The sequence below is a fragment of the Homo sapiens genome, chromosome 1, assembly GCF_000001405.40.
Source record: "Homo sapiens chromosome 1, GRCh38.p14 Primary Assembly".
Lineage (NCBI taxonomy): Eukaryota > Metazoa > Chordata > Mammalia > Primates > Hominidae > Homo > Homo sapiens.
Genome location: NC_000001.11, coordinates 182729750 through 182752376, shown reverse-complemented (window position 1 = coordinate 182752376; position 22627 = coordinate 182729750). Strand labels below are relative to the sequence as shown.

General features: G+C 42.0%; 1 protein-coding gene and 1 pseudogene across 2 annotated transcripts in view, besides 1 other annotated feature; one reads left to right on the top strand and one right to left on the bottom strand.

Moving 5' to 3' along the window:
* RGS8 (regulator of G protein signaling 8) overlaps window positions 1-22627 on the top strand; it is a 110559-nt gene continuing 87932 nt past the window's right edge. For both annotated transcript variants that reach the window (XM_011510089.4, NM_001387847.1), the window contains exon 1: window positions 1-125. The gene's annotated coding sequence lies outside the window, so the exon portion shown is untranslated. The remainder of the gene's footprint in view (window positions 126-22627) is intronic.
* Window positions 9404-10017: an enhancer, noted in NCBI's record as "H3K27ac-H3K4me1 hESC enhancer chr1:182711495-182712108 (GRCh37/hg19 assembly coordinates)". NCBI's record gives its function as "activates a minimal SCP1, AML or CMV promoter by ChIP-STARR-seq in naive H9 embryonic stem cells {active_cell/tissue: H9 hESC(naive)}" and the evidence as "EXISTENCE:reporter gene assay evidence [ECO:0000049][PMID:30033119]".
* On the bottom strand, window positions 17626-18148 carry LOC100421471 (NSE4A component of SMC5/6 complex pseudogene; annotated as a pseudogene).

Here is a 22627-nt window from a genome sequence, read left to right as displayed (position 1 = left end):
ATACCAGGAAATGCTGTTCCTGACAGGAACCACCTGTGTCTCGTCTGTGGCCGGGTCTTGAATTACTGGCCATTCTGGAGCAGGACCGGTTGATGTGCCGACTCCTGTGGCTGCTAGGATGTAAGGTAACCCCTCAGGAATGTTCTGTCAGCTGGCTCAGCCCAGCCTCTGCTGTCATGTCAGGAGGTGGGATGGCTTGGAAGTCTTGTCTCTGTCATAAACTAACACTGTGACATGAGGTGGCTTGGGATCTCTCTGGCTCTTATGTTTCTCAGCTGTGGGGTTCATGGCCAAGAAAGGAGTTGGGAAAGTATCAGGTGACAAACACAAATGCCTCTGGGGGTCAGATAGGTGACAGAAGTGAATGGATTGTCTGGGTGTAAGACAATAGGAACCGCGGCGCCTGTGAGGAACTGGAGAATAAATGCCTTGCCTGAAGATGTTCAAATTCAAATAAAACAAAAACAACCAGAACCCAATATTGTAGGCCAAATAAAATGCCAAGGGGTTAAGTTGATCTGATGATTAGAGTTTCCAACGTATTCTGGAAGGTTGCTTCTAGTTTTAATGATCCAGCCTTTATCTGCAAGTATGTATTCTTGTATATCAGAATTCCTAATTCAATTATGTATATGGTATATCTTTTTGAATGTGAGAAAGTATATTATGTACCTAATGCTTGGAATAAAATTCAGACCAATCTAGGCTTTTATAGGCTAAATCATAGCAAAAATCATTGATCTTAAGTTGTTGGTTAGAAAAAAATATTAAATGTATGTGGTAGGATGTGACTCAGAGGTCATTTAAGCTCCTCTGAGCCACAGCTCTGGGAAGACAGGGAAAATGAACCCCTTTTTAATCACACACTCCTCCTGTTCAGAGCCCAATTATTTTTCATCTGATTTGTACGTAGGCACGCGTGCAGGGACTGTGTCTGTCTTATTAAACACTGTACATGACCCTGGTACCTGACACCTAATAGGGTTCTCAACACATATATGATAAATAAATGAATGAGTTAATGAAAATAGTATGCCTAGGTTTTAGTCTTTTCTCTTTTAAACTATCTAATAAGCTATTGATTGCATAATTTATTTTAAAAGTGTAGATGTAATCATGCCAATTCTTGGCTCAAAGCCTTCTAAACATGCCACATTGCCTACACAACAAATCTCAAAGTTCTTGGCATGATCTTTATTTCCATGTTCTGATTTCTTCTTTCTGTTTAGTTCTATCTTCAAATGAAGTTGCTTCCCCTGCCCCCATATCATAGCCCACCTTAACTACTTGTTCCCCAAACAAGTTCTTTCATTTTCATGACATTCCCTCTGTAATGCCCAGCTCTTCTTTTTCTCCATCAAAATGTTATCCATTCTTCAAGATGCAAATGTCCCCTCTCCAGGAAACTTTGCTTTATTTTAAAGCCAAATCAGAAATAACTTCTTTCATCTGTGCTCTTTCTGCATATCTCATATAAAGTGAGTATTACATTCTGCCTTAAGTTGTAGCTGTTTATTTATATACCTACATCCTCTAGAATCTAGAGTCTAGATAGTATCTAGTCTAGTATCTAGAGTCTAGATAGTATCTAGTCTAGTATCTAGAGTCTAGATAGTAAACTTCCTAAAAGCATGGGCTATAAATTGTTCTTCTTTGCCTACTTCATAAACATGAAGGTATTCAATGCATTTATGTTGCATGATAAAACTTAAAAGTCTACATTTATTGGTTGTTTTTAATTGATGGAGAAATTTTGGTGGCTATCTGTTTGCAGTTAGAGGAACCCTCAACAAACAAGTTTAGTGAGAGAACAAGATAATCCAAGAATCCAAGAAAAAACTGTCACCTTTTGTGACAGAATTGTATAAAAATATATAGAAAAATGTCAGAAGCAATTCAACCTAAGACATAGGGTATTTTTTGCCAATGGGTTTAAGTATCTTCCTGTTGATTATAAAGAAAGAAAAATCATCTGTAAAGTCAAGGATCTGAACTATTGTTGATGTAAAGATGGGTAGTATTACAAAGACAAGTTCCAAAAAAGGGTGTTGGTCTGCACAGAGCCTGGAACTAAAAAATGTGGACATGGGAACCCTCACCACATCTTTATTTTTGTTCAGAAAAGAGGGTAGGCCATTTTCACTGACCAGTTCCAGTTTTGTAGAGTAAAAAGAAAAAATTTATTAGGCTTCCATAGCCCAAAAGAAAGAGCTGTTAAACATATCTCATACTATGTGTTCTAATTCTGCATTCACTAAATAATTTTCTGATCTATAATTTGTTTACTAGTTTTATTAATGAGCACCTATGTGCTTGGTCCTATTGAGAACTTTTATGTATATTAACTTACTTAACTTTCATAACAACCTTCTGAGGTAGGTATTAAAAGCCCCATTTTTAGATGAAGAAACAGACTAAGAGAGGTTAAGTACAGTGAGAACACATGGACACAGGCAGGGGAACAACACACACTGGGGCCTGTTGGGGCATCAGGGAAGGGAGAGCATCAGGACAAATAACTAATGCATGTAGGGCTTAATACCTAGGTGATGGGGTGATAGGTGCAGCAAACCACCATGGCACACATTTACCTGTGTAACAAACCTGCATGTTCTGCACACGTATCCTGGAACTTGAAGTAAAATAAAATTCAGAAAAAGAGAGAGGTTAAGTAATGTCCTCAGTCACCCATCAGAAAATGGTAGAGCTGAAGATTTAATGCAATCTGTTTGAAAATACCAGTGATATGCTTAACAGAAATAGAAAAAAAATCCTAAAATTCATATGGAATCACAAAAGACCTCAAATAGCAAAAGTAATCTTGAGTAAAAAGAGCAAAGCTGGAGGTGTCACACTACCTGATTTCAAAGTATACTACAAAGTCCTAGTAATCAAAACAACATGGTACAGTGTGTGGTATTAAAACAGACACATAGACCAAAGGAACAGAAAAGAGAGCCCAGAACTAAATCCATGCATTTAAATCCAACTCATTATTGAAACACCAAGTACATAATGGGGAAATAAAGTCCTCTTCAATAAATGGTATTGGGAAGACTGGATATCCACATGGAGAATTAAAAAAATTAGACCTTCCTCTCTTGCCATATACAAAATTAACTCAAAATAGATTAAAGACTTAAGTGTAAGACCTGAAGCTATGAAACGACTAGAAGACAACACAGGAGAATCATTTCATAACACTGGTCTGGGCCAGGATTTTTTGGATAAGACCTCAAAAGTACAGACAACAAATGTAAAAGTAGACAAATGGGATTACATCAAACTAAAAAGCTTCTGCACAGCAAAAGAAATAACAGATAGAAGAGACAACCTGCAGAGTGGGAGAAAATATTTGCAAACTATACATTTCAGAGTTAACATTCAAAATATATAAGGAGTGCAAACAACAGCAAAAGACCAAATAACCTGATAAAAAAAATAGGCAAAAGACCTGAATAAGCATTTCCCAAAAGAAGACATACAATGGCCAGCAGGTATATGAAAATATGCTCAACATCACTAATTGTCAGGGAAATGCAAAATAAAATCCCAATGAGATACCATTTCACCCAGTTAGAATGAACAGTATAAAAAAGACAAAACAGAACAAGTGCTGGGGAGGATGTGGAGAAAAGGGAACCCTTATATACTATTAGCAGGAATGTAAATTAATGCAGCCCTTATGAAAAACAGTATGAAGTTTCCTCGAAAAATTTTAAATAGAACTACCATATGATCCAGTAACTCCACTACTGGGTATATATCCAAAGAAATTGAAATCAATATGTCAGAGATATCTGCACTCTTGTGTTAATCACAGCACTGTTCACAATAGCCAAGACATGGAATCAACCTAAGTGTCCATCAATGGATGAATGGATAAGAAAATGTGGTGTATATACACAATGGGATATTATTCAGCCATAAAAAGAATGAAATCCTGCCATTTGCAACAATTAACCTGGAGGATATTATGTTAAGTGCAATAAGCTGGGCACAGAAAGACAAATACTGCATGATCTCACTCACATGTGAAATCTTTACAAAGTTATCACATAGAAGTTGGGAATAGAATGGTGGTTGCCATAGGCAGAGATGGTTAGGAGAGGGGGAAATGGGAAGATGTTGGTCAAAGGATACATAATTATGGTTAGACAAGAGGAATAAATTTCAAGAGATCTATTGTACAGCAACACAACTACAGTTGGTGAAATATTGTATTCTTGATAAACATAAAGAGATTGAAGGTTATTTGGTCTCATCACAAAAATGATAACTAGGTGAGGTAATGTATTTGTTAATTACCTAAATTTAACCATTCTACAATGTGTATGTACTTCAAAACAGCATGTTGGACACAATGATACCTGTCAATTTAAAAAAAGCAAACTTTTAAAAATAAAAAAAGCATAAAACATACTCAAAAATAAAGAGCCAGGAAAAGATGTAAGAAACAGACAAAACAAAAAAGAAAATGATGGAGCTCTGATTTAAACACTGCCTGGACTACCTTTTTTTTTTTTTTCGTATTTTTAGTAGAGACGGGGTTCCGCCACATTGACCAGGCAGGTCTTAAACTCAGGTCATTCTCCCACCTCAGCCTCCCAAAGTTCTGGGATTACAGGCATGAGCCAATGCGCCTGGCCAAGCCTGGACTAACTTTCAATGTTGCTTTCTTTTCTGCATGGTGTTGCCTATTGGAAGGGAACCGCTTGATGCCTCTTGCTTGTTCCACTCTTGGGTCAGAGATATCTCCCTGGCTGGAAATTAAGTAGTGGCCACAGTTGGTAGGGTCCAATCTCCCATAGCTGGCTCATTTCTGAGTGAAGTGGTTATTGTGTTTGCAAGTACAGATCAGACCTTGAATAGCAATATACCCATTAAGATAGTGTCTCTGACAGAAATAGGCTATCAGTTCTACCCCTTATGTTACAGCACTCCTTAACCACTGGAAAGACTTGTGAAAACACAAAACATTCTCTGCATGGCATCTTTAAATGGGAAGCACACTGAAATTTACTTTTTCTCCTTGAAAAAGCTCCAAATTAAATGGATAAAAGAAGCTTAGTATTACTGCTTTTGTTTTCACAGCTGCCAAAATAACTCTGGATCTCCTGGTTCAATTCATAATAACCTTAGCTGAAATTACATGTGTCTAAAGATAGAAGATGCAGGGCCAGGAATGGTGGCTCAGGCCTGTAATCCCAGTGCTTTGTGAAGCTGAGGGAGGAAGATTGCTTGAGCCCAGGAGTTTGAACCAGCCTGGGCAATATAACGAGATCTCCATCTCTACAAAAAAAAAAAAAAAAAAAAAAAAAAAAAAAAAAAAAGACCAGCAGTGTTGACACGTGCCTGTAGTCCCAGCTACTTGGGAGGTTGAAACAGGAGGATCCAGTGAGCTATGTTCATGCCATTGCACTCCAGCCTGGGCAACACAGCAAGAATCTGTCTCAAAAACAATAACAAAAGCAAAAGATAGGAGATGCAGGTCAGAGCATCTGATGCATTTCCTATCTTTAAAGAAGACATTGTCTTTTGTTTAAATGGGATCTGTTCATTTTAACTCGAAGCAGTCCTTGATGACAAATGAATGTGAAAAGCCTACAGATGTCCTAAGTTGGGAAATTTCCTTCCTTCCTCCCTCCCTCCCTTTCTCTCTCTCTCTCTTTCTTTCCTTCCTTCCTTCTTTCTTTCTTTCCTCCTTCTTTCTTTCTTTCTTTTTTTGACAGAGTCTTACTCTATTGCCCAGGCTGGAGTGCAGTGGCGCGATCTCCACTCACTGCAACCTCTGCCTTTTGAGTTCAAGTGATACTTATGTAGTTGGGATTACAGGCATAAGCCACCCTGCCCAGCTAATTTTTGTATTTTTAGTAGAGACAGGGTTTCATCATGTTGGCCAGGGTGGTCTTGAACTCCTGGACTTAAGTGATCTGTCTGCCTTGGCCTCCCAAAGTGTTGGGATTACAGGAGTGAGCCACTGCACCCCACCTGGAAGTTTTCATTTATATACTCTTGACATCATCATATATATTGTGTTTGCATCTAAGAAGTTATTTTAACAATTAATTCTAGCCATATATGGTCTCTTTTTTATTGGAAACACATTAGAAAAGTTCTTAGTTAAATGCCTATTTTGCAGATTTGTACTGAAGGATAGCAGCGGATTGGTGGATGATCAGAAAGGTGGTACCTGGGGTGGCAGTATTTTGGAGAGGGGGTCTGAAAACCAAGTTGTAAGATGGCCTGGGGGCTTTTTAGCCCAGGGAAGAATTTCTAGGCAGGGAAGAGGTCTTCAGATATTTGAGGGACTCACTTGCCCCAAATAGGAATAAACAGGTATCCTCTTCTTTACCCTAGAGGGCAGAACTTGGACTAAAAGAAGGTCAGGATAGGGAGAAAGTGATGTACATGTGGGAAAAATCTTTAGGATACTTGAGGAATTTATTAGAAGGATGAATATTTGAACATTAAAGTTGTTGGGAATGATGGTGGAGGCTGTCTCAAGTAAAGATGGTCAGGATAGGGAGAAAGTGATGTACATGTGGGAAAAATCACTGGGATATTTCAAGCTAGGAAGCTATGGCAGGGATTTCAGTTTGGGTAAGAGATTATGCTCAGTGCCCTAAAGTTCCATTCCAATTCTAAGAACTTAGTTCGTGGTTTAACTTATACACTTAATATCATTTGGCTTTATGTGAATCAAATATGACAAATGGTTTAACAATGATTGTTGGAGAAGAGTGTATTTATGCAGTAGAATCTCACTGATTTAAAATAATTGAAAGGGAGAGCCAGTCTGGTTGGTGAAGTCAATTATGAAATGATTGTAAATAATAAAAGTCCATTTTATTACTTTCAAGTCCTTGGATGCGTGGAATTACATCTACCAAAGTTGCCCGATCAAGGTTCTGCTTTAAAGAATAGAGAATGATTTGTAATCAACATATCAGAGTACCAGGCTTGCTGGCCTTTGCTTAGATTAGAATTAAATCATTTCCAATTCAGAATGTTTGAAAACAGTTGGTTCTCATGAGTAAATAAATAGGCCCTTCAGAATTTCATTTTATGTGTTTATTCTGTCAACTCTTTCTCTTTTATTCCTGTTTCTAGGGCAAAGGGAAGCTTATGTTCGACTTCTGTCAAAATGTCACAATTAAAAAATAAAACACAACATAAATAAGTGAGATTTTTGTTGTATTTTGGTCAGACCAATTCTCTGTCTTGCAGATTGAATGTTAGATTGCTCAAAATTCTTGAAAGGAAGCTTTCTGAAGAACTATTTATATCTAGAGGGTGTGGCAAAGAATTGGATTTAGTAATTTGTTCATTAGTCAAAATTTAATTTCAAAAAGACCATATATGTATAATTTCATGTATGTGAAGTGTCCAGAATAGACAAATCTATAGAGACAGAAAGTAGACTCATAATTGCCTAAGGCAAGGGTCGGGGGTGGTAGGGTGGCTTAAGGGGATAATAGAGAGTGGCACTCACAGGTATGGGTTTCTTTCTGGGGTGATGAAAGTGTTCTAAAATTGTGATCATGTTTGGACAACACTGTAAATACAGACATGCATAGTTTAATGACAGCAATATATTCTGAGAAATGCATCAGTAGGTGATTTCGTTCTCGTGTGAAACAACAAAAAGTTGTGTACTTACCCAAATTTAGTATAGCCAACTACACACCTAGGCAACAAACCTGTATAGCACGTTACTGTACTGAATAACGAAGGCAATTGTAACACAGTGGTATTTTTGTCTCTACACACAACTAAACATAGAAAAGGTAATACGTTACTACAACGTTACAATGGCTATGTCACTAGGCAATAGGGATTTTTCTGCTCCATTATAAACTTATGGGACCACCATCTTATATGCAGTCTAATGTTGACTGAAACTTTATTATGTGGCACATGACTGTGTCTTAAAAAACAATGAATTGGGCTGGGTATGGTGGCTTACACCTGTAATCCCAACACTTTGGGAGGTGGAGGCACTGAGAGGATTGCTTGAGCCAAGGAGTTCAACACCAGCCTGGGCAACATAGTGGGACCCCATCTCCACAATTTTTTTTTTTTTAGTTAGCCAGATGTGGTGATGTGCACCTGTGTCCCAGCTACTCTCGAGCCCAGGAAGTTAAAGCAGCAGTGACTGCAGGGATGTCAGCTTGGATGAGAGAGTAAGACCCTGTCTCAAAAAACAAACAAACAACATTGGATTTTATACTTTAAATAGGTGAATTGTATGGTATATGAATTATATTTCAATAATTATTGAGTGTACATTATGAGTCAGGAGTTGTTCTGGGACTGGAAATACGATGTTGAACAAGCCAAAGTCTCTGCCCTCACAGAACTTACAGTGGAGAGTCAGATAACAAACATGTGAACAAGCATATAAAAACATAGTTTCAGGAAGAGGTAGTACTCTGAAGAAAAATAAAGCAGGATAAGGAACTAGAGAGTATGTGCATACATATATGCACATGTGTCTTGTGTGTATATGTGTGTGGGTATGTGTATGTAGCATGTCTATATGCATGTGTGTTGTATGCATGTGTATGTGTGTGCATTGTGTGTGTATACACATGTTTTCTATTTTAGATATGGTGAACAGAGAGGCCCTCCATGGGGAATATAACTTTTGAGTAAAAGTGTGAATAAAATGAAAGAATTAACTGTGCAGATAACTGGGGTAAATGCATTTCAGGCAATGCAAAGACCCTGAGACAGGAATATTTTGGTCTGTTCAACCAAGAAGGACAGAGAGCTAGTGGGAAATGATGCTGGAAGGGTCAGTAGGGATCATATCATGTAGGTGATGACCATGATAATATCTATGAGTTATTATGAGTTCAGTCTTAGCATTAATAATTACCACTAACTTTGCGTGACATATAGTCCCCAAGTCCTTTTCACAACCTCTATCTTGTTTGATGCTCACAACTCTAAGAAGTTGCTGTTAGTTTGCTTGGTCTATATATAAGGAAAATGTGAGGAAATTGTCTACAATTCTCGGTGCTCCATGAGTCAATGACCCACTTCAGGACATGTCCCAAGTCTGGTGATCTTATTTCCTCAAATCCTAAGTCAGTACTTGCTGCAAGACATAGGCTCAATACATGTTCATTCAACTTCTTTGAGGTCACAAAGTGAGTGGATAGCCAAGCCAGGACTGAAGTTCAGGTCTTCTCATTCCAAATCCCATGCTCTTTGTACTGACTCACATGGCCATATTGCTTTTCCCTTTGAATCACAGAATGATGAGGATTACAGGGTCTTCAGGGGTCATCTTCCCAGTAGATTGACACTAACATCTTCCAAGGCCTGTGGGTGTTTACATAGTTTTCCAGGATTCTGCTGAAAGAGGTTGATCAGTCTCTGTTATTGCACAATGCCACTTTAATTGAGGAATAAGTTTTCCTTAGCATATTCCATTAAGCGACTTTATGTAATTAATTGTGTCCCCTGATTGTTACAGTTTGATAATTTTCATCTCTGCCTTACCATTCAGGTTCCTTCTTAGCAAATCCTACCATCTTTCAGCTTTTAACTACATAAAAAAGTAGTTAAAAACATGAGTCCCTCTCCCTCTCCCTGTCCCTGTCCCTGTCCCTGTCCCTCTCCCTCTCCCTCTCTTTCCACGGTCTCCCTCTGATGCCGAGCCAAAGCTGGACGGTACTGCTGCCATCTCGGCTCACTGCAACCTCCCTGCCTGATTCTCCTGCCTCAGCTTGCCGAGTGCCTGCGATTGCAGGCGCGCGCCACCACGCCTGACTGGTTTTCGTATTTTTTTGGTGGTGACGGGGATTCGCTGTGTTGGCCGGGCTGGTCTCCAGCTCCTAACCGCGAGTGATCCGCCAGCCTCGGCCTCCCGAGGTGCCGAGATTGCAGACGGAGTCTCGTTCACTCAGTGCTCAATGGTGCCCAGGCTGGAGTGCAGTGGCGTGATCTCGGCTCGCTACAACCTCCACCTCCCAGCCGCCTGCCTTGGCCTCCCAAAGTGCCGAGATTGCAGCCTCTGCCCGGCCGCCACCCCGTCTGGGAAGTGAGGAGCGTCTCCGCCTGGCCACCCATCGTCTGGGATGTGAGGAGCCCCTCTGCCTGGCTGCCCAGTCTGGAAAGTGAGGAGCATCTCTGCCCGGCCGCCATCCCATCTAGGAAGTGAGGAGCGCCTCTTCCCGGCCGCCATCACATCTGGGAAGTGAGGAGCGTCTCTGCCCGGCCGCCCATCGTCTGAGATGTGGGGAGCACCTCTGCCCCGCCGCCCTGTCTGGGATGTGGGGAGCACCTCTGCCCTGCCGCCCCGTCCGGGATGTGAGGAGCGTCTCTGCCCGGACGCCCCGTCTGAGAAGTGAGGAGACCCTCTGCCTGGCAACCGCCCCGTCTGAGAAGTGAGGAGCCCCTCCGCCCAGCAGCCACCCCGTCTGGGAAGTGAGGAGCGTCTCCGCCCGGCAGCCACCTCCTCCGGGAGGGAGGTGGGGGGGTCAGCCCCCCGCCCGGCCAGCCGCCCCGTCCGGGAGGTGAGGGGCGCCTCTGCCCGGCCGCCCCTACTGGGAAGTGAGGAGCCCCTCTGCGCGGCCAGCCGCCCCGTCCGGGAGGGAGGTGGGGGGGTCAGCCCCCCGCCCAGCCAGCCGCCCTGTCCGGGAGGTGAGGGGCGCCTCTGCCCGGCCGCCCCTACTGGGAAGTGAGGAGCCCCTCTGCCCGGCCAGCCGCCCCGTCCGGGAGGGAGGTGGGGGGGTCAGCCCCCCGCCCAGCCAGCCGCCCCGTCTGGGAGGTGAGGGGCGCCTCTGCCCGGCCGCCCCTACTGGGAAGTGAGGAGCCCCTCTGCCCGGCCAGCCGCCCCGTCCGGGAGGGAGGTGGCGGGGTCAGCCCCCCGCCCGGCCAGCCGCCCGGTCCCGGAAGTGAGGGGCGCCTCTGCCCGGCCAGCCGCCCTGTCCGGGAGGGAGGTGGGGGGGTCAGCCCCCCGCCCGGCCAGCCGCCCCGTCCGGGAGGGAGGTGGGGGGTTCAGCCCCCCCGCCCGGCCAGCCGCCCCGTCCGGGAGGGAGGTGGGGGGTCAGCCCCCCACCCGGCCAGCCGCCCCGTCCGGGAGGTGAGGGGAGCTTCTGCCCGGCCGCGCCTACTGGGAAGTGAGGAGCCCCTCTGCCCGGCCAGCCGCCCCGTCCAGGAGGGAGGTGGGGGGGTCAGCCCCCCACCCGGCCAGCCGCCCCGTCCGGGAGGTGAGGGGCGCCTCTGCCCGGCCGCGCCTACTGGGAAGTGAGGAGCCCCTCTGCCCGGCCACCACCCCGTCTGGGAGGTGTACCCAACAGCTCATTGAGAACGGGCCATGATGACAATGGCGGTTTTGTAGAATAGAAAGGGGGGAAAGGTGGGGAAAAGATTGAGAAATCGGATGGTTGCCGTGTCTGTGTAGAAAGAGGTAGACATGGGAGACTTTTCATTTTGTTCTGTACTAAGAAGAATTCTTCTGCCTTGGGATCCTGTTGATAGGTGACCTTACCCCCAACCCTGTGCTCTCTGAAACATGTGCTGTATCCACTCAGGGTTGAATGGATTAAGGGTGGTGCAAGATGTGCTTTGTTAAACAGATGCTTGAAGGCAGCATGCTCCTTAAGAGTCATCACCACTCCCTAATCTCAAGTACCCAGGGACACAAACACTGCGGAAGGCCGCAGGGTCCTCTGCCTAGGAAAACCAGAGACCTTTGTTCACTTGTTTATCTGCTGACCTTCCCTCCACTATTGTCCTGTGACTCTGCCAAATCCCCCTCTGCGAGAAACACCCAAGAATGATCAATAAAAAAAAAAAAAAAAAAAAAAAAACAAACAAACAAAAAAAACAACATGAGTTCAAATCCTGAAATGAGTTCAAATTCTGACCCTGCTCTTAATAGATGTACGACCTTTGATGCCTCAGTTTTGCTCATTGGTAAAATGGAGATAGTAATATTATTTATCTCATATGGCTGTTTTGAAAGTTAGATGTGTCTGTATAGTGCTCAGCACAGAGCCTAGAACAGAATAAGTATCAGTAAATATTAGCTATTACTAACTGGTATGCTTATGCCCCACTCTCTGGTAGCACTTACTGTAGAATTGTGGCCAGGGAGGCAAGAAGTAAGATAATAGCTTGTCAATGTTTCTGAGTACACAGCACTTAGGTCTCTATTACAGCAGGCCAGTTGGGTGGTCAAGTACATCCTTGGACTGCAACACAACATGTGCACAGATGGAAACTAGGATTGATTAACTCCTGAGCATTCTGCATTGGAATTAAGGGGGATGATTATTGGGTCTCCCCAAGTACACAATTCCATATGAATCTCTGTGGCTGTTATTAAACTCTGGATTGGAGGCTAGTTTCACCCAGGCGATGATAGAAATTGGGGGTTGGGGGTTGGGTGTTGGGAGCTGGAGCATGGAATGTGTGAGACAGGAAAACAGTATGGGTAGGGACGAAAAGCCATTGATAAAAACAGCCGTTTGCCCCCCTTCCCTTCCCTGCTTAGATTCTGGAAGACTCAGAGCTCTCTGGTCTCTGCTGCTGTGTTGCTGCCTGTTAGCGTGATTGTCGCTGTTGCCAGGTAACTGCTGGCGCAAGGGCTTCTGGGTGGGCTGCCCGCTGGCTGGGTGAGTGGGAGGAGGTGTGAAGAGGCAGAGGTCAAGGCCAAGAGGAATGGAAACAGCACTGTCTACATACACAAATCAGGGCCATGGCGATTCCCCCTAGGCTATGGGACAGGGGGAGGCCTGAAAACATGAAGATAACAAGGCAGTCCTCAAATACAAAGCCAATATACAATACTTTAGAAAAGGAATGAACAATTTGGTTTATTCTTTTTTTTCCTCTTAAAAGAAACCCCAATTCTTCATAAATGCCAGAAACTGTGTGTATGCCTGTGACTGCTGGTGTGCCTTTAAAAACCCCATTGAAAGAACATCAGTTCCCCCACGTCAGTACTCAAGGTCGGGGCCCCAGTGACACTGTTGGGGATGACAGTGTTTCCCCAGATGACAGCGTTGGGGAGAAAATACATTGTCTTATCAGGCTGTGCGAAGCCCCTCAGAAAGCCATCTTTTGGGTTCTTTTTCTCTCACGTTAAGCACTGATTCTCTTCCTAGATGAGGAGTAAGTACTGACACTAGAGAAAGAGCAGAAGGTGAAGCCAAGTAGCAGCTGACTGTATCCAGCATATTTCATTGTTCATCTGAAAGCTGAGACTTTCCCAGCACACTTGTGGGGGAATATTCCACTTTTAAATGGAAAGAAGCCATAAATGTCAGCTAGAAGATACCTGGGAGAGGATCCAATAAGATTCTTTATTTCAGGGGTGAGGAGAGATCAGAAGTTAAGTGCTTATCAAATTCAGAGATACAACTACAGATCTAACCTTGTATGAAAGAGAGATTGTCTCTTTAGTCCTCTAGCTTCCGCATCTTTCAATGTCCTTACCATCGACCTTCATCCTCTTGCCCTGCAAGATGTTTCTGAAACTGCCTCCCCAGCTCTCCACATGATTCAGCCTCTTCACCCTGCCCTAACCCCTAAATGGACCTGCAGTCAATCTCTGGACTGCTTCCCAGATGCATACTTGGTTTCAAGGTCTTTATTGGTTTGCTCTTGTTCAGTGATTGTATCCCCTCTCTCTGTCAATAGATGTTTCACTGACTGTAGCTAAAATAATTTTGTTTTGCCTTTTTTATTCCCTCATGTTCTGACTCCATACTTCATATTAATTACAGGATTGGCCATAAAGGGTACCCAGAGTATACCTGGCATGGCCCATAAAGATGAAAAAGTCCATTGTTAGATCATTTTCATTTGTTTAAAATAACACCAAATAATTGACCTCTCAAAGGTCAACTCTAATTTCATTTAAAAATCTAAAATGATAAGCCTAAAATATATTTAATGCTATTTTAAAATATATATTTTCTTGAGGTACATGAAAATTATATAGGCTACTATTTATTGGTCATTTGATGCCAGATACTGAACTAAATGCTTCACATATGTCATAAAGTATTATCCATAATACACCTGGAAAAGTATCATTATCTTCATCTAACACAAATGGAAACAAAGGCTCAGAGAAGTTAAACAACTGTTCAAGGTTGCTTTTTCTAATGAATAGCTTGTGCTCTTGTTATAATATCAAGTGGCCTCCGTCCATTATATGCAACAGTTTTGGCTCTAATTTTTATCTTAGATGTGAATACAACATAATGAATATATAATGAATTAGCATTTTATGAGTCTTGAGCAAAGCAACTGTTAGTTATTTGTTACTGTGTAACAAATTATCACAACATTTAGTTGCTTTAAAAAGCAATTTTTAAAAATAGTTTCTGTGGGCCAATAATCTGGGAATGGCTTTACTGGATTCTCTGGGTCAAGGTTTCTCACAAGGCTGCAATCAGGGCTTCAATTGGGTTGCAGTCATCTCAAGCCTGCTTCCAAGTTCAACTGCTTCCAAATTCACTCGTGTGGTTGTTGGTAGGCCTCAGTTTCTCACATGCTGGTGAACTGAGGTCCTCAGATCCTCCCTAGTTGTTGGCTGGTAGCTGCCTGTAGGGGGTTGAATGGTCGCCCCCAAAGATAAGAGGGCCTATTCTCTGGATCTGTGAATGTTATCTTGTATGGTTTATTAGTCTGTTCTCATGCTGCTAATAAAGACATACCTGAGACTGGATAATTTATAAATAAAAGAGAGATTTGATGGACTCATAGTTCCACATGTCTGGGGAGGCCTCACAATCATGGTGGAAGGTAAAGAAGGAGCAAAAGCACGTCTTACATGCAGCAGGCAAGAGAGTGTGTGGAGGGGAACTGCCCTTTATAAAACCATCAGATCTCGTAAGACTTATTTGCTATCATGAGAACAGCCTGGGAAAAACCTGCCCCCATGATTCAACTACCTCCTATTGGGTCCCTCCCACGACACATGGGGTTATGGGAGCTACAGTTCGAGATGAGATTTCGGTGGGGACACAGCCAAACCACATCATATGGCAAAGTTAAAAAAATTTATTTCCTTATGGTCAAATACACATAAAATTTATTATATAGTTAATTTTTTTTTTTTACCTATGAGATTAAGATTTAGGAGATGAGATTATTCTGGATTATCTGGGTGGTCCCTTTAATGCCATCAGAAGTGTTCTTATAAGAGAGAGGCAGAGGGAGATTAGACACCAAAGAGGAATGCAATGCCACCAACAGAGGCAGAGCCTGGAGTGATGCAGCCACAAGCCAAAGGATGCTGGTAGCCACCTGAAGCTGGAAGAGGCAAGAATAGATTCTTCCTAGAGCTACCAAGGGAAGCAAAGCCCTGCCAATGCCTTGATTTTGGGCCCGGTGAAATTGATTTCTGACTTCTGGCCTCCAGGACTGAGAAAACAGATTTCTGTTGTTTTAAGCCACCAACTTTGTGGTAATTTGTGATAGCAGCTGCAGGAAATAATATACTGCCCTTAGTCCCTTGCCACATGGGCCTCTCTATATGGACATGTCACAGCATGGCAGCTGGTTCATCCAAGTGAGCAAGCAAGAAGAGCAGAGCGGGAAAGAGTGAGCAAGGTGGAGGTCAGTTTTAGAACCTATTCTCTGATGCAGCATCCCATCACTTCTGTGTTCTGTATGTTTGAAGCAAGTTGCTAGGTCCAGCGCACACTGCATGGTAGGGGATTACTCAAGGGCATGCCCTTCCCTCTCCTCTATGTTGGACTCCTACTGCTATCCCAGGGCTAACATCCATGACATAGGTTTCCATATCTCATACTGGCTTGTGGTTTTATGTCCCAGGGTTTCTTGAAGTGGGCTTTGCTAACCCACCAAATTCTAATCACCCCAAAAATTTGGTAAAAATGCAGATATCCAGGCCTAACCCAATTCTACTAAATCTACTAAATCTAGTGTGGGACCCAGAAACCTATATTTTAAATAAGCTTCCCACGTGATTCCTATGCAAAATAAAGATAAAAAAAATCTGACCTAAACACTATTCCCCACTCAAGAAAAGTTCATAGCTAACTAGTATTTGTGAATGCTACACATCTGCTCTCTGACAGTCATGTTTTAGCAATTGCTTTTTGGGGACAGTTCCTTAATCCAGTATTTCCTAATTAGTGGTAATTGTACCACTGGTGGAGGCAAAATGGTTTAAGGTGGTACAAGCATGACCATTTAATATTTTAATAGTGGTTTTATCTTCAGGGTAACTTCCTATTTATGGCAAGTCACATTGGTTTTACTGCCTGGTGATGATATAGAGTTTCTTTAATCAATGTATTGTTGTAAAAAAGAAAAAGGAGTTAATTTGAAAAATGATATTAAGTAAGCAATGGTATAGGTGGTACACAGACATGGCAAAAACAATGACAGACATAATCAAATGGTTGAAGTTTGAGAAACATTGTCCTAACCCAAAGGAAGGCACTCTGTGGCCTTCAGGTGTCATGATAGAAAGTGGAGGAGATATTTGGGGGCAGAAAGGCCCTGCCCAGGTTAGTAAGGTTATTGCCTGTGTCTCTGTGAGGGGAAGACCCTGCTGATCAGGATCAATCATGAAGCTGGTCAGACAGAGAAAATGAGCCATGCCTTCAGATACATCTCTTGTGAATATAGAAAAGAAAGGGCCAGAGCAAAATATAATCACAAACTGGTGCAATCAGGCTGTGTAGAGGCACAGACTTATTCAATAACAGGACTGGTTCTTGGCAAAAATGAAATGAAGGTGAAGCCCTGTGTTGTCCCTGCTTCCACCAGGGCCCTCTCTTTGTTACTGCCATAGCGCCCTGCTTATCTTCCCTTCTATCTCCAACTCTTTCCTGCTTCCTTCTGTCCCACCCTGATCTCATCAGATCTAGCTCTCAGGGCTTTCATTTTTTTTGGAGCTGTAAATGACCTACGTTATTCAAAGCATTGGTCTTCAAATTCTGTTGGACAGAGCATTCTACCACAAAAGTTAACTAATGGATATCTTTAACCCCGTTTATCTTTATTTTTAGTTTTCAGTTTTCCTAATGTTAAATTTTCTTTAAAAAAATGGCAGTGACTTTTCCTTAGTTATCGTTGATTATAATACTCTATAACCAATTTAATAAGATGCATTAAAATGTTTGATGTTCTTGAAAATTTTATTCAGCAGACAATACATTAAATAAGTGCTTTTAAAAAAAATTCACTATTCATTTGAGCTCTTAGGACTGCACTGCCCAGTATAGTAGCCATTCGCCTCAAGGCACTACTGAGCACTTAAAATGGGGTTAGCCTGAAGAGAGACATGTTGTCAGTGTAAATTACACATTGAATTTCAAAAACGTAGTATTAAAAAAAGAGAATGTAAAATATATTATTAATACTTTCAAGTACTGGTTGTATGTTGGAATAATAATATCTTGGTTATATTGTGCTAAAATATATGATAAAAATTAATTTCACCTGTCTCTTTTTACCTGTTTTAATGTGGATACTGGAAAATTAAAATTATGTATGTGGCCCACATTATATTTCTATGATCAGCATCGCCTTAGAAAATACTGAGTTCAACTTGCAGTAATTGCTGACCTTCTATTGACTGGACACTAAGTGATTATAGGCTCTGAACCTCCCAACATCCTCCCAGTGCTAAAACACAAAATTATAACTCCTTGGTTCCTAACTTGGGTATTTAGGTCAATTCCCTCACCTCCTTTGTTAATATTAGTAGATTCTATTACAGGAAGATTGTCTTGGTCAAGCCTTATTTTTACAAAACCATACCTTATAATGAGACAACATAAAAAATGCATGAAAAAGTATTGGGATCAACTACAAAGTCAAAGAAGGACATAGAAGTATCAAGATCTTGAAAAGAAGTTTACAACCGTCTTGATTCTTTCGGTTATTTTTTCTGTAGCTTATTGATGAGAATCTTCTAATCTTTTTAACTTGGCAAGTATGACCATCTTTTCTGGTGGGATGTTTTCTTGTAAAGCTACTTTCTGCTGCTACTATGCACTATGCATTCAAAATCATAATTCTTATCATTATAATTGAGTTCTTTAGCTTCCAGTCAATTAAAACCCGCATGGCCATAGAGAATCAGATCACACTGTGACTGACCTGCTTTTTGTTTATCCAAATCTGACATCAAAATAAATAACTTGGGGCCAGGCACGGTGGCTCATGCCTGTGATCCCAGCACTTTGGGAGGCTGAGGCGGGCGGATTGCCTGAGGCCAGGAGTTCGAGACCAGCCTGGTCAACATGGTGAAACCCTGTCTCTACTAAAAATACAAAAATTAGCCGGGCATGGTGGCAGGCGCCTGTAATCCCAGCTACTCGGGAGGCTGAGGCAGGAGAATTGCTTGACTGTGGGAGGCGGAGGTTGCAGCGAGCCGAGATCATGCCACTGCACCCCAGCCTGAGCAACTAAGCGAGACTCCATCTCAAAAAATTATAATCATAATAAAAATAAATAAATAAATAAATAAATAAATAAATAAATAAATAACTTGGTATCTAGGGCTGTGTGTTTTCTTTTGACTATGCCATTAAACAGAATACTATTGGCTTCAGGGACCTCTGTTAGTCTGTCAGTGTTGTGCCTGTTTCTATTCCTAATTTTATTGGACAGTGTAGATGAACACTGGATGGAATTGGGTCTGCCTGTGTCTCCTTTCATTACTCTCCTTCTTTCCTTGGACCTTGGCTGGTCCTTGACATCATTCTTAGCTCTATCTGCTTTGCTTCCTCAATCCTCAGGCTGTCCCCACCCCCTGGTGTTCCAGTGTGGCAGCAGATTTGAGATATGAGTGAGAGTCACTCCAAGGCATTGTTCCAGCCCTATCCTGGCCTAAGCTTGTGACTGGTCCCAAATTCCAGCCCTAGCTTAGCTCCTACCTGCAGGCTTTATTTGTCCCACTCTGTCAAAATTTCATAAGTCACTTGATACCCGATGCTCCTTGTCAGCTACATTCTAGCAGTCAACCAGTAAACATATAGCAGATGGATACTTAAAATGTAGCATCATAATCTCTACAATCCTTCATGAATTCTCCCAGATAATTAACTTCCTGGGATATTGAGCACGGCATATCATTTCTTATTTAACACACTTGAATATTGAAAACACAGGACAAATAATCTTGCTGCAAAATTGTGTTGATTTAATTAACAGAAAAAACTATAACACATGTACCAGACACTGAGTTACTGCCTATGAACACAGCATTTGAATATCTGAGTATCCTCTGTTGTGAAATCCATTCGCTTCACTCACAGTCTTTGCCATTTAAATCCTTTTTCAGAGCAGACTGCGAAACCATGAGATGCACTTGCTTCTGTATTCAGGTTTCCTCTATGTTCCTTACATTAGGAACAATATACGGTCTTTTAAGTTCCTACAGTGACCATTTAACTTGGTTGCATTAAGCTGTGATGGCTTTGCTTTGTGATTTCTGGAAAGCCATAATACCATTTGGCTGGCTAGCCTGGACTCTACCTGAGGCATGTGCCACAAGAAATCATCTTCAAAGTTGCCAGGGTGAAGGACTCTTGATTCTTTTTCACTGTGGCTGTCATCTTGCTTTTATCTTCAAAGAATCCTCCAGGAGCTTCTACTCAATTAGCTTTTCTTTGTCCTTCTATAGCATGCCCTTTTTTGTCAATCAGTACCAACATAATACATAACATTCAGTTTCTGATAATAAAATTGTTTCTGGCTCAGATGCTTCATAATGGTCACTATTACACTTAAGTTTTCTGCCCCTCAAGTAGGTCTGAGAACCCCTTTGTTGAAGCCATATCCTCTCCTGAGACATTGTGGCCAAAGGATTTAAATTCTATTGATGAAATGTTAACATTGGCTAGCAGGAGAAAGAATTTGGAATGAATGGTATGAGTCTTTTTCAAGCTCCTAAAATTCTACCATCTAGTTGTTTCCTTATTTGCTCCTTGCTCATTTATTCATTTAACAAATATTTATTTAGACTTACTGTTGGACAAGTTCTGTTTGAGGAACTGGAAATGTAGCAGCCTAGAAAAGGATTCAGAGCATTAAGCGCAACCTAGTACTGCTACAGTGGGTGTGTGTGTGTGTGTGTGTGTGTGTGTGTATGAGAGAGAGAGCGAGACAGAGGGAATGAGAGAGAGAGAGAAAGAGAGAGAGCGCTTGTTCTGCTGACATTATAGCAAAATTCCCCAAATTTTTTTGAAGATGAAATTAATAGTTTTCACAGAACACCAGTTAACATCCTGGAAGTGTAGTCTGGGAAAACACCCAGTCAGTCACCAATGTTGGTTCTTTCTAAAGTCGTCAGTATCTATCCCTTTTTACTCCTACTGCTAATAACCTAGTCCTAGTCCCAACACTTCCTGGCTCATACCCAGGTCATTGCAGTAACTTTCCCACAGGTCTTCCAGCCTCAGTCTCTCCCACTGTGATCTATCATTCATACTGTACTAATACTGGCAGCCTTTTGTTCAGCAATCTGCTTTAGTTGGAACCAAGGCTTGGAGAGATTAGCTGCCACTAACAAGGTCACCTAAGTAATAAGTGGCAGTGATGAGAAATCTATTATACTGCTGTTTTTCAAACTGTGATCTGTAGGACCCTGAAGTCCAAGCACATTCTCAAGTACTCTGAGGATTTCTAAATTTTGTGTTTTCATTTAAATCGTAGTCCATTAATGGAGAGAACATTCTAAACCACCTAAATGGCCTCTCATTGTTGAGAATTGGGATGCAGTTTCTGTGTGTGTGTTTGTGCTTTTTGTAATGTTGAGACCAAGTAATGTGATATTAGTTGGGATGGGCTTTTGAGAAAAAAGTAGATTGAGGATTTTTTCAGCAGTGATTTCAAGAATCTTGAACTAGAAGAAGACTTTTTCATCTTTTCTAGCTCTAAGGAAATGTTTTCGTTATAATTGGTGGGCTTACTCTATTTCCTTGGGATAGGATGGGCATAGATGGGTGACAAAAGTCTTGGGAACAGGTAAAGGAGAATTATTTTACTGTATCAGGTAAGCAAGAAATAGGATATAATCCAACTGCCAATTGCAGTCAACCAACAAGCAGCACACTGGAGAAATTAGAAGTAACAGCGTGAAGCCAAGTCACTTTTCATAGCTAAGTTTGTGAGGGCTAAAGGTGCAGGATTATTGGGCTACATTTCTATCTAGATTCTCCAGCAACTGCAGATGCTTTGCTGAACGTTGGAAAGTGTTGCCACGTGGGGATCCAATTAGTGCCTATGCTTGGGAATAAAACGGCTATTAAAGATCCTGAGAGTTTTTAGGGGCAAGTTATAGGTGAGAACAGGAAGATAGAATGCAGGTCAGATAAACTCTTTTCTTTAGAAATCTGCCACTGGTGGATCTCTCTGCAGCAGGGAGAAGTGAAGATTTCTCTAACCCTTTAGTCTTTCAGTGCCATGCAGTGATTTTCAAATGTGGGCCAGGAGATGGGTTATATCAGAATTGTTTACAGTGCCGGTTAAAAATACAGTTTTCTGGAGCTGAATCAGAATCTCAGAATTTCCGGGAATGAGACTGGTCAGTTGTAGTGTTCCACAACATTCTTAAGCATGTAAAAAATTGAGATCTACTGGTCTAGGGACTTTTTCTGCAAGGTAGAGTGCAAATTGCTGGAAGGACTCTAAATTTTTTTTTTTTTTTTTGAGATGCAGTCTCGCTCTTGTCACCCAGGCTGGGGTGCAGTGGCGGGATCTTGGCTCACTGCAACCCCCGTCTCCCGGGATCAAGCAATTCTTCGGCCTCTGGCTTCCAAGTAGTTGGGATTACAGGCACCTGCCACTGTGCCCGGCCATTTTTTGTATTTTTAGTAGAGATGTGGTTTCGCCATGTTAGCCAGGCTGGTCTCGAACTCCGGAGCTCAGGCAATCTGCCCACTTTGGCCTCCCAAAGTACTGGGATTACAGGCATGAGCCACTGACCCCGGCCAAATTTTTTTTTTTGTTTTAAACCCAGCCAAACTCTGCTAGAAAAGGTGATTGCCTCCTAGTGCGATAGGGTGTGCATGTTTTAAAATTTACTACTGCATTGCATGGGCTAAAGTGTTGTTTTACTCAACTGATCCTTCTTGGAAGTATAAATCTCCCTAGGAGAGATAATGTACTAAGTCCCTTCAAGTTAGAGTGAATGAGTGTCTTATGGATAGCAGAAGGGAGTCAGGGCTCCTTGGTGGAGTCAGGGTTGAAGATATTGGAAGACTGCTCAAATTAAGAAAAAGATATGAAAAGGAAGGTTGGGGAAGTGAATTTCAAACTTCTTGGACTTGCCATTTGCTCCTACCTCTAAGGCCCTTTGCTTATTATCCCCATCATCTTTTCTAAACCTGACCCTTATATGCCTGAAGTTAGGGAAACTTTTTTCTTCACCAGCCTTTTTTAGATGTGTTTGGAATTTTGCCTAAACATGGTCTGCCAAGCGTGGCCTATGTTATTTTTAGTATCTCCTTTGCATATGTGCCCTAAGGAAGTGGGATCCTCCGTTCGTTCTTTCTTCTGAGGAATATTTGATTGGCAACCTTAAAATTTTTCTTTGTGTTTAAATTATAAACTCACTGCAAGCACAAGGCACCTTTCAGAGTCTTTTAAACTACATGTCAATATGTGTTCT